Here is an 11,336-nt window from a genome sequence, read left to right on the forward strand (position 1 = left end):
AGCCCTGGAAGTCCCCAACACAGAGAAGGCCAAGACCTATGTGGAGGGTGTCATGGGGAAGAGCTTGGGTTTGGGGGCCAGGATTCAAGTATACTCGGCTGAAGACCTTGACAGGGAATCCCAGGGGCTTCCCCAGGACTTTTCTCCATCTGGAATGGGGCATCCAGAACTGAAGTGCGCGCGCGCGCGCGTGTGTGTGTGTGTGTGTGTGTGTGTCTGTCTGACTGTCTGTCTGTGTAGGCAAGACCTGGTTTCCAATCCCAGTTTTGTCACTCCCCCTCTGAGACACTCTCTCTGGCTCTCTGAGCCTCTATTTCTTTTTTCTTTATTTGTTTTCTTTCTTTCTTTCTTTCTTTCTTTCTTTCTTTCTTTCTTTCTTTCTTTTCTTTTCTTTCTTTCTTTCCTTTCTTCTTTCTTTCTTTCTCTTTCTTTCTTTCTTTCCCTTCCTTCCTTCCTTCCTTCCTTTCTTTCTCTTTCTTTCTTTCTCTCTTTCTTTCTCTCTTTCTCTCTTTCTTTCTCTCTTTCTCTCTTTCTCTCTTTCTTTCTTTCTCTCTTAGATGGAGTTTTGCTCTTGTCACCCAGGCTGGAGTGCAATGGTGCGATCTCAGCTCACTGCAACCTCTGCCTCCTGGATTCAAGGGATTCTCCTACCTCAGCCTCCCAGGTAGCTGGGATTACAGGCACACACCACCACGCCTGGCTAATTTTTGTATTTTTAGTAGAGACGGGGTTTCACCATGTTAGCCAGGCTGGTCTCGTACTCCTGACATCAGGTGATCTGCCCGCCTTGGCCTCCCAAAGTGCTGGGATAACAGGCATGAGCCATAATCGTGCCTGGCCTCTGAGCCTCTATTTCTGCATCTGTAAAATGGAGACAATGGTGATCAGACCTGTTTCATAGGATTGTTGTAAAGGTTCAGGGAGATACTGTGTGGGGGCACCTAGTGAGCATGAGTGCTAGAACTTGAGAATGACCTTAAAGGAGGCTTTAAACCCAGAGGGTCCAAGGGGCAGCCCTCTGGCCACCCCTGCCTCAGACGCACGTCTAAAAATATTAAATTGGGATGGTATGGTGGTTCATGCCTGTAATCCCACCACTTTGGGAGGCTGAGGCGGGTGGATCACTTGAGGCCAAAAGTTCGACACCAGCCTGGCCAACAAGGCGAAAACCTGTACTAAAAATACAAAAAATTAGCTGGGCATGGTGGTGCACGCCTGTAGTCCCAGTTACTTGGGAGGCTGAGGCAGGAGAATTGCTTGAAACTGGGAGGCAGAGATCGCAGGTTGCAGTGAGCTGAGATCACGCCATTGCACTCCAGCCTGGGTGACGAGTGAAACTCCGTCTCAAAAAAATAATAATAATAAATAAAAATAAAAAGATTAAATTGGCCAAAAATCAGGAAATTCCAAATACAAATCCAGATTTCTGGCTTTATTGAAAATTATGCACTCATTAATTCAACTAATACATCTCTGCAAGCTCCTTCTATGAACCAGTTTTCTTGCTAGTGGCCCGGGCAGCAGTGGCAGGGCTGCCCTCCATAGCTCTCCACCTCACCACGTTCACACAGTCCCCTGGCATCCAAGTCCCTTCCTGGCCCTGTGACCATCTGTCCTCAACCCTTTCCTCACCCTTACCCCCAGCAACTGACGAACCACATCCGGGACACACTGCCGGGGCTGCGGAACAAGCTGCAGAGCCAGCTACTGTCCATTGAGAAGGAGGTGGAGGAATACAAGAACTTCCGCCCTGATGACCCAGCTCGCAAGACCAAGGCCCTGCTGCAGTGAGGCTCCCCCAGCTCCTATCACTGAATCCCCGCCCCCAGCCTCTCAGCGTGGGGCTCTCCCAGGGTTCCCTTTGCTGGGCTGCTCCTGCCCCCTCAGGCCACACCACTCTCCCACCAGGATGGTCCAGCAGTTCGCCGTAGACTTTGAGAAGCGCATTGAGGGCTCAGGAGATCAGATCGACACCTACGAACTGTCAGGGGGAGCCCGCATTAACCGAATCTTCCACGAGCGCTTCCCTTTCGAGCTGGTCAAGGTAGGTCAGGCAGCCCTGGGGACAGGATGGCTCAGGACTCCCCCCACCCTCACTCAGGACTCTCTCTGCGTGTGTTTTTGCTGGCCCCCACCCCACAGGCCCTGATGCCCAGCCCTAGGTGTGGGGTGGGCCCTGTCTTGACCTCCCAGGTAGTAGGACAGGCCCTGACCAGGCTTTTCTCTGCTTTTCTACACAGATGGAGTTTGATGAGAAGGAACTCCGAAGGGAGATCAGCTATGCTATCAAGAATATCCATGGCATTAGGCACGTATTGGGGCCTGGGAGGGTGGCTGAACCCCAGAAGTAGGGGGTCTGGGACAGAGGCACAGGGAGTGATGAAGTGGGCCTCCCTCAGGAAGGACTGAAAGCTCTGTTCCCCAGTCCTCTCGACCCCAACTTTCTGGCTCCCTGCATGACAGGCTCCAGCTTGGGGAGGTGGACCCGGGCCACCCCGCCTACTGCAACTTGCTGGGCCAACTGGGCACAGCCCAGGGCGCAGGTGGCCGGGGAAACACCCTCTGGGGCTGGGCCCATCCCCAGGGTGAGATAGCTCCCCCAGTGCCACCCAGGTAACCGGACAAAGATGTCCAAACCACTACGAGGGCCTGGGGTGGAGCATCTAAGTATGAGGCTGTGTCCTTTTATGACGGCCGGGGACTTTGCAATCCTCCACACCCTCCTGTATTCACAGTAGCCCAGAGTCAGTCCCATTCCACCCCACCGCCCTCCTTCTAGGCAACCCGTGGAGTAGGAAACAGGATTGGGAGGTGGAATCTGTTCCTTAAAAGCTTAGATCCCCTTCAGGGACCCAGATCTATGCTGTGTTCATCCAACAAATCCACTGGGCCGGAAAATTTAAAGCACCTACCCTATGCCAAGCAGTGAACAAGACCCAGTGTCCCCTTGCTCTCATGCAGGTTCATTTCCAAGATTTGGCATGGAATTTACTTCCTGATAACTGCACTGGCCAATTCACAGAAAAAAGATCTCTTTCCTAGTCTTAAAACAAAACACTCTATTCCTGGAAAGGCTCTTATGGAGAACCACGTTTGGCAATTTTCAAGCCATTTCTGGCCATAGAACTTCCTATATGCACAGACCCTTACGAGGAAGCAGGACTTACATATCAGATACTCAACCACCTTGTCTTGCCCCAAAGAGCCTCATTAGGGCCGGGCGCGGTGGCTCACGCCTGTAATCCCAGCACTTTGGAAGGCCGAGGCAGGCGGATCATGAGGTCAGGAGATCGAGACCATCCTGGCTAACACGGTGAAACCCTGTCTCTACTAAAAATACGAAAAAATTAGCCGGGCGTGGTGGCAGGCGCCTGTAGTCCCAGCTACTTGGGAGGCTGAGGCAGGAGAATGGCGTGAACCCGGGAGGCGGAGGTTGCAGTGAGCCAAGATTGCGCCACTGCACTCCAGCCTGGGCGACAGAGCAAGACTCCGTCTCAAAAAAAATAACAACAACAACAAAAAACCCTTCATTAGAACCCCTCCCTCCCATTTTACAACTGGGGACACTGAGGCCCAGAGAGGGGTAGTGGAAGGGCCCCTCAGGCAGAGTTCGTGGGCTTGGGGAGGAGCCTCGGCCTGGCCCTCCTGGCCGGCACTGGCCTGTGACACTCTGCCCTTCTCCCGCTCCGGGCGTTCAGAACGGGGCTGTTTACCCCAGACATGGCCTTTGAGACCATTGTGAAAAAGCAGGTGAAGAAGATCCGAGAACCGTGTCTCAAGTGTGTGGACATGGTTATCTCGGAGCTAATCAGCACCGTTAGACAGTGCACCAAGAAGGTAACCCGGAGGCCCGGGCCAGCCCCCACCGCCTCTGCCCCGCCCTGCACTGCTGCCAGGCGCTCCTTCCCCATGTCCCCCCCTGCCTCCTCGGTAGCATGTACAGACCTCAGCGGGGTGGGGAGGCAGGCCACCACTGAATAGGAGACAATGTGCCTCTGAGAGGGCCTCACCCACCCCTGGCCCCCAGGTCTGGGGACCCAGGGATTGGACATGGGTGAGACGGGGATGATGGCTGGCTGTTTACCCCAAGAGCCCACCAAGAGCTCCCCCAGCTCAGAGAATAGGGCTTGAGGGGACCCTGAGCCCCCTCCCTGTCCTCGGAGGTGTCATCTTTGGGAGCTCCAGGGAGGGGTCTGGGGAAACCTTAGCCTTGGAGACAGGTGAAATGCAGGGCCTTCTCGGGCACTGCTCGGTGGGCCTGGGTGGCCAGAGGGGGTGCAGAGGACCCAGGACTAGCAGGTGCCCTGGCTCCCCGCTGTCCTTCATCCTCCCCATACTCATCTCACCCTCACTCAGGACCCTCACACAGGATGCTCACGTAAGACCCTCACTCAGGGCCTCTCCCTCCCTTCCATCCACATCTGGCTTTCCAGGGATAGAGCCCTTCTCCCATCTGCCCCACCATCCAAGCCTCACAGAAGCACGCAGGGAGGCAGGACAGGGAGGACGGTGCCCATTTCACAGCACGAACACTGAAGCTCCAGGAGATCAAGTGGCTTGCCCAAGTCACAGTAGTCAGGAGGTGGCAGAGCTGTTACTTGAAGCCACGGCTCTGGACTCCAAGTCCAGTGCTCCTCGATTCCACCCTCCAGCCTCCCTTCCTTTCCTCTCCCCACTGCTGTCCCGGCCCCTCTCTATCACTACCTCTACTCTTTCTGTCTTTCCTCTTCTCTTTCTGTCTTTTGGTTCCACCAAACCCCTGTGGAGGAGAGGCCAGGAATGCCCCTTGAAGAGAAAGGGAGGGGCGGGACTAGAGCAGGGAGCTGGAGAGGGAGGTCAGGCTGCTATACTGCAACCCTAGGAGGCAGCCTCTGCGCCACGGTTTACGGGAATGGACCCCCCTGGAGTTGTGCAGTGCATGGCCTGGGCAGCTGGATGCGGCAACCCTAGAGATAGGGAATGGTACTGAGGTTTGGAGTCAGGATGAAGCAAATTCTGGGACACTGGGAAACGTAGAATTGAACAGGATGGGTGGATGAGGTCCTGGCCTTGTCCTGGCCTGGGTCAGCTCCTTAGGAGAACCCAAGGCTGTGGACAAAGACGGCACTGGGAGAGAGCAGGCAGCCTCAGTGAGGCCGAGGAGCAGGGGAGCATCCCTGGGAAGAGGATCTGAACTCAATAGGGGTCTTGTACGGAGCAGGGGCTTGGTCCCTCGTACCTCTGGCCATACCTATGGAGCCCAGGGGATGCTTGGCAGCACCTGGGAGGTGCCAACCCCGGGTGGCAAGGGAGGGCCGGTCCCACGCTCACATTGTCTTCTGTTCTCTCTCTCTCTTTATCTGTGTCGATGTCTCTCTCTCTTCCCCCGTGCCCGTGCCATCCTCTCCACCCCTGGATTCCTGTCTCTGCTTGGCTTTCACCCACTTCTCCTCCCCACCCACGGCTGCTCCTCCTCCTGTCCCCACCTCCTCCCCGGGTGCAGGACGGGCCTCTTCACACCTGACCTCGCTTTTGAAGCCACAGTGAAAAAGCAGGTGCAGAAGCTCAAAGAGCCCAGTATCAAGTGTGTGGATATGGTAGTCAGTGAGCTCACAGCCACCATCAGAAAGTGTAGCGAAAAGGTATGACGGCCGCCTGGGCGGGGCTGGGCCTGGCCGTCCATTCCTTGTGGCCACAGCCTCCCGTGGGCAGAAGGATCTGCTGAGCCGGCCTCACGGCTACCCGCAGGGACCCAGCCCTAGTGTTTCCTGCCAGTTTCTAACCCTGGGTACTTGCACTCATGACCCCTCCAGGCCCCCATCCCAGAAGACTTGACTCCAACCCAAGCCTCCTTGGTGGCACCTATGCTAGTGATGAAGATGATGTTAAGGAGATGGCAGCTGTTTACTGAGCACCTACTATGTGCCAAGCACACGCTAAGTGCTTGCCCTTACTATCTGACTCAGTCCTCTCAACCACCCTAAGACGTGGGTAGTGTTGTTATTCCCATTTTGCAGATGGCAAAACAGAGTCTCAGAAAAGAGAAGCAGAGTGTGATTCAGTTTTAGGAAGGACAGAGGAAGGGGTCTGAGGTCAGGGCCTCCTGGGCAGGGGGAGCTGTCCTAGTTCCTCAAAACCAATTTGCCTGAAAGCATATTGGATTACTCACTTTACAGTAATCCGTGCGTGAGAGACAGGGGCGGTCTCTTTTGAGTTGTCTGTGACTTTTTAGATGCCTTTTTCCTATTTGTCTGCTTTTGGGCATTTTGAGGATTTTTAGCCAGGTTGTCTAAAGCAGTTCTTCCCAGGGGAGTGCGAGAGAATCAGTTGCCTGCAGGAGCTTCTCCAGCAGGCTAAATCAGAGGTGCCAGGGGTGAGCCCAGCCTCACCTATATCTGAAGGACTTCCCTATGCTGGTGGGTGGAGGCACATCCACCTTAGCATTGAGTTTCAAATAAGCATCAATCATCTCCATTCCTTTTTTTTTTTTTTTTTTTTTTTGAGATGGAATCTTGCTCTGTCGCCCAGGCTGGAGTGCAGTGGCACCATCTTGGCTCACTGCAACCTCTGCCTCCTGGGTTCAAGTATTCTCCTGCCTCAGCCTCCCGGGTGGCTGGGATTACTAGCATGTACCACCACACCTGGCTAATTTTTGTATTTTTAGTAGAGATGGGGTTTTGCCACGTTGGCCAGGCTGGTCTTGAACCCCTGACCGGAGGTGATCCACCTGCCTCGGCCTCCCAAAGTGCTAGGATTACAAACATGAGCCACCGCGCATTCTTTTTTACTGAGCAGTGTGTTGTGTAATCCTTGTATGTTGCTACATAAAGATTGGTCTCATGCCTTTTTTTTTTTTTTTTTTTTTTTTTTGAGACAGTCTCACTCTGTTGCCTAGGCTGGAGTGCAGTGGCACGATCTCAGCTCACTGCAACCTCCACTTCCTGGGTTCAAGTGGTACTTCCACCTCAGCCTCCCAAGTGGCTGGGACTACAGGTGAGCACCACCATGCCTGGCTAATTTTTGTATTTTTAGTAGAGACGGGGTTTCACCATGTTAGCCAGGCTGGTCTTGAACTCCTGACCTCAGGTGATCTGCCCACCTTGGCCTCTCAAAGTGCTGGGATTACAGGTGTGAGCCACCACGCTCAGCCAGTCTCATGCTCTTTAACTACTGAGTTGTATTCCACTGTAGAAATGTGGCATGATTTATATGTTCAATGTCCTCTTGACGGACATTTAAGTTTCAATTTTTTTTTTTGCCTTCACAAACGATGTTACAATGAACATCCTTATAGATGTATTTGTAGTATTTATCCCATTGTTTTTTCTTTCTTTTTTAGAGACGGGGTTTTGCTGTATCTCCCAGCATGGAGTGCAGTGGCACAATCATAGCTCACTGTAGGCTCAAACTGGGCTCAAGCGATCCTCCCGCCTCAGCCTCCCAAGTAGTGGGACTTCAAGCACTAACCACCACACCCCACCCAGCTAATATTTTTGTTTGTTTGTTTGTTTGTTTTTGGTTTTTTTTGAGACAGAGTTTCACGCTTGTTGCCCAGGCTGGAGTGCAGTGGTGCCATCTCGGCTCACTGCAACCTCCACCTCTCAGGTTCAAGCGATTCTCCTGCCTCAGCCTCCCGAGTAGCTGGGATTACAGGCTCCTCCCACCACACCCAGCTAATTTTTCTTATTTTCAGTAGAGATGGGGTTTCATAATGTTGGCCAGGCTGGTCTTGAACCCCTGACCTCAAGTGATCCTCCCACCTCAGCCTCCCAAAGTGCTGGGATTACAGGCATGAGCCACCCCTCCTGGCCTAATAATTTTTTTGTTAAGACAGGATCTTACTATGTTGCCCAGGCTGCTCTTGAACTCCAGGCCTCAAGCAGTCCTCCTGCTTCAGCCTCCCAAAATGCTGGGTTTATAGGCATGAGCCACCATCTGGCAACAGTGGCTTCTTGATGGACATTTGGGTTGTTTCCAAATTTTACCATAATCACTGCTTTCCTTTTGGAATGAGAGTCAAAGTGTTTCATGGTTTTTAAATGTTTATATCTAGTAATCAATCTTCTAGGAATCTATCCTAAGGAAACAATCGCAGAGAAAGAAAAGCAAAACTATCCACAGAGATATTCATTGTCAGGTTATTTAGAATATTGAAAAACTGGAAACTATCTGGCCAGGCGCAGTGGCTCACGCCTGTGATCCCAGAACTTTGGAAGGCTGAGGTGGGTGGATCACAAGGTCAGGAGTTCAAGACCAGCCTGACCAATATGGTGAAACCCTGTCTCTACTAAAAATGCAAAAATTAGACGGGCATGGTGGCACGTGCCTGTAGTCCCAGCTACTCAGGAGGCTGAGGGAGGAGAATCGCTTGAACCTGGGAGGTGGAGGTTGCAGTGAACCAAGATCACACCACTGCACTCCAGCCTGGGCGACAGAGCCAGACTCCATCTCAAAAAAAAAAGAAAGAAAGAAAAAGAAAAAGAAAAACTGGAGACTATCTAAATATTCACCAATAGGAAAATGGTTAAGTAAACTGTGATAAATCTATTCAATAGAATATTATGCACCCATTAAAATGTTTATATAGGCTGGGCTCACACCTGTAATCCCAGAACTTTGGGAAGCTGAAGCGGGAGGATTGCTTGAGGCCAGAAGTTTAATACCAGCCTGGGCAACATAGCAAAACCCTGTCTCTACAAAATTTTTTTTTTTAATTAGCCAGGCGTGGCAGTATGCACCTGCAGTCCTTGCTACTTGGGAGGCTGAGGCAGAAGGATGGCTTGAACCAAGGAGTTCAGTTGCACCACTGCACTCCTGGGTTATTTTAGAGACCCTGTCTCTAAAATAAATAAAAAAGAAGTTAGAGACCAGCCTGGGCAACATAGTAAGACCCTGTCTCTACAAAAAATAAAAAGATTAGCTGGGCATGATGGCACACGCCTGTAGTCCCAGCTACTTAGGTGGCTGATGTGGGAGGACTGCTTGAGCCTGGAAGGTCGAGGCTGCAGTGAGCTCTGATTGTGATCACACCACCATATTCCAGACTGGAAGACAGAGCAAAACCTTATCAAAAAAAAAAAAAAAAAAAAAAAGCTTGGCCAGGTGCAGTGGCTCATGCCTGTAATCCCAGTCCAGTACTTTGGGAGGCCGAGGCAGGTGGATCACCTGAGATCAGGAGTTTGAGACCAGTCTCGCCAAATAGTGAAACCCGTCTCTACTAAAAATAGAAAAATTAGCCGGGTGTGGTGGTGGGCACCTGTAATCTCAGCCACTCGGGAGGCTGAGGCAGGAGAATCACTTGAACCTGGAAGGCAGAGGTTGCAGTGAGCCAAGATCACGCCACTGCACTCCAGCCTGGGTGACAGAGCGAGACTCCGTCTCAAAGGAAAAAAAAGGGAGGGTGGGTGGCCAGGCGTGGTGGCTCACACCTGTAATCCCAGCACTTTGGGAGGCTGAGGCGAGTGGATCACGAGGTCAGGAGTTCAAGACCAGCCTGGCCAACATGGTGAAACTCTGTCTCTACTAAAAACACAAAAATTAGCTGGGTGTGGTGGCGGGTGCTTGTAATCCCAGCTACTCGGGAGGCTGAAGCAGAGAATTGCTTGAACCCAGGAGGCGGAGGTTGCAGTTAGCCAAGATTGAGCCATTGCACTCCAGCCTGGGTGACAGATCGAGACTCCGTCTCAAAAAAAAAAAAAGAAAATTAAAAATTAAAAAAAAAGATGGGATTCACTTGTCCCTCCACAGCATATTGTTGGGAAAAAAAAAAAGCAGGTTTCAGAAAAGAACGTATGGTATTTTGGAGAAAAAATAATATATGTGAATGATAAAATCTCAAAGGCGTATTCACCATAGGAATCTTTTTATTTTCTCTTCACAAATTTTATTTATTTATTTATTTCTTTATTTATTTTTATTATTACTATTTTTTTTTTTGAGATGGAGTTTCGCTCTTGTTGCCCAGGCTGGAGTGCAATGGCGCAATCTCGGCTCACTGCAACCTCCGCCATCCAGGTTCAAGCAATTCTTCTGCCTCAGCCTCCCAAGTAACTGGGATTACAGGTGCCCGCCATCACACCCAGCTAATTTTTTGTATTTTTAGTAGAGACGAGGTTTTACCATGTTGGCCACGCTAGTCTCGAACTCCTGACCTCAGGTGATCCACCCGCCTTGGCCTCCCAAAGTGCTGGGATTACAAGCATGAGCCACCGTGCCCAGCCCACTTCATAAATTTTAGTCATGCTCTAATCTTTTACAGTGAGTCTGTGTGATTTCTTTTTCTTTTTTTTGAGACAAAGTCTTGCTCTGTCACCCAGGCTGGAGTGCAGTGGCACGATCTCGGCTCACTGCAACCTCTGCCTCCTGGATTCAAACGATTCTTATGCCTCAGCCTCCTGAGTAGCTGTGATTAAAGGCATGTGCCACCACACCCAGCTAATTTTTGTATTTTTGGTAGAGATGGGATTTCACCATGTTAGCCAGGCTGGTCTCAAACTCCTGACCTCAAGTGATCTGCCTGCCTCGACCTCCCAAAGTGCTGGGATTACAGGCATGCGCCACCATGCCCTGCCGTCTGTGTGATTTTTATGAGCAGAAAAAACTGATCAACAAATATTTGGAAAGGAAAGCTTTGGTCTAAAAGGAGGAAACTGATACTTTTGCCTTTTTTTTTTTTTTTTTTTTTTTTGGAGACAGAATTTCGCTCTTGTTGCCCAGGCTAGAGTGCAACGGCACGATCTCAGCTTACTGCAACCTCCACCTCCTGGGTCCAAGTGATTCTCCTGCCTCAGCCTCCGAGTAGCTGGGATTACAGGCATGTGCCACCACGCCCGGCTACTTTTGTATTTTTAATAGAGACGGGGTTTCTCCATGTTGGTCAGGCTGGTCTCGAACTCCCGACCTCAGGTGATCTGCCCACCTCGGCCTCCCAATGTACTGGGATTACAGGTGCAAGCCACCGCAACCGGCCACTTTTGCCTTTTGATTGGTTTAGTGGATCATAATTATTTTTTTCCTTATAGGCAAAACTCACCTTTGCCTATCTTTGTGTATATATTTTTTCCTCCCCTCGAGTTTTCTAAGGTTATCAAGTCACTCCTGCCAGAAGTTTAATGAGTGTTAATAAGTGAACTCTCATTACTGCCAGCCCTGCTGGGATTAGACTTGCCATCTCTGAGTGAAATGAAGAGTTTAATGTTGGGCATGGGATGTGCTGCTCAGTTCTCTCAACAACTCTAGGAGGGAAGGTGTCATTACTACCCCATTTTCCACATGGAGAAACTGAGGCCCAGAGAGGTCTGGTCATTTTTCTAAGGAGAGTCAGCGGACAGCGGCTGGCTTTGAACCCAGGGCTGAAT

At 51.1% G+C, this 11,336-nt stretch overlaps 1 protein-coding gene across 6 annotated transcripts in view, besides 1 other annotated feature; it reads left to right on the forward strand.

The window, feature by feature from the left end:
- Positions 1-11,336, forward strand: part of DNM1 (dynamin 1) — a 51,866-nt gene that overhangs the window by 17,174 nt on the left and 23,356 nt on the right. For 3 of the 6 annotated variants that reach the window (NM_001005336.3, NM_001374269.1, NM_004408.4), the window contains exons 7-10: positions 1,645-1,787; positions 1,909-2,044; positions 2,241-2,308; positions 3,699-3,837. In NM_001005336.3, the coding sequence (NP_001005336.1) occupies positions 1,645-1,787; positions 1,909-2,044; positions 2,241-2,308; positions 3,699-3,837 (486 nt within the window). Of the gene's footprint in view, positions 1-1,644; positions 1,788-1,908; positions 2,045-2,240; positions 2,309-3,698; positions 3,838-5,482; positions 5,622-11,336 lie in introns of all 6 variants that reach the window. The other 3 variants (NM_001288738.2, NM_001288737.2, NM_001288739.2) reach the window with 1 other exon arrangement.
- Positions 10,131-10,379: a silencer, noted in NCBI's record as "fragment chr9:130992962-130993210 (GRCh37/hg19 assembly coordinates)". NCBI's record gives its function as "represses an EF-1alpha promoter that drives an FKBP-Casp9 reporter gene in an ReSE screen in HepG2 liver carcinoma cells {active_cell/tissue: HepG2}" and the evidence as "EXISTENCE:reporter gene assay evidence [ECO:0000049][PMID:32094911]".

The sequence above is a fragment of the Homo sapiens genome, chromosome 9 (assembly GCF_000001405.40).
Source record: "Homo sapiens chromosome 9, GRCh38.p14 Primary Assembly".
NCBI lineage: Eukaryota > Metazoa > Chordata > Mammalia > Primates > Hominidae > Homo > Homo sapiens.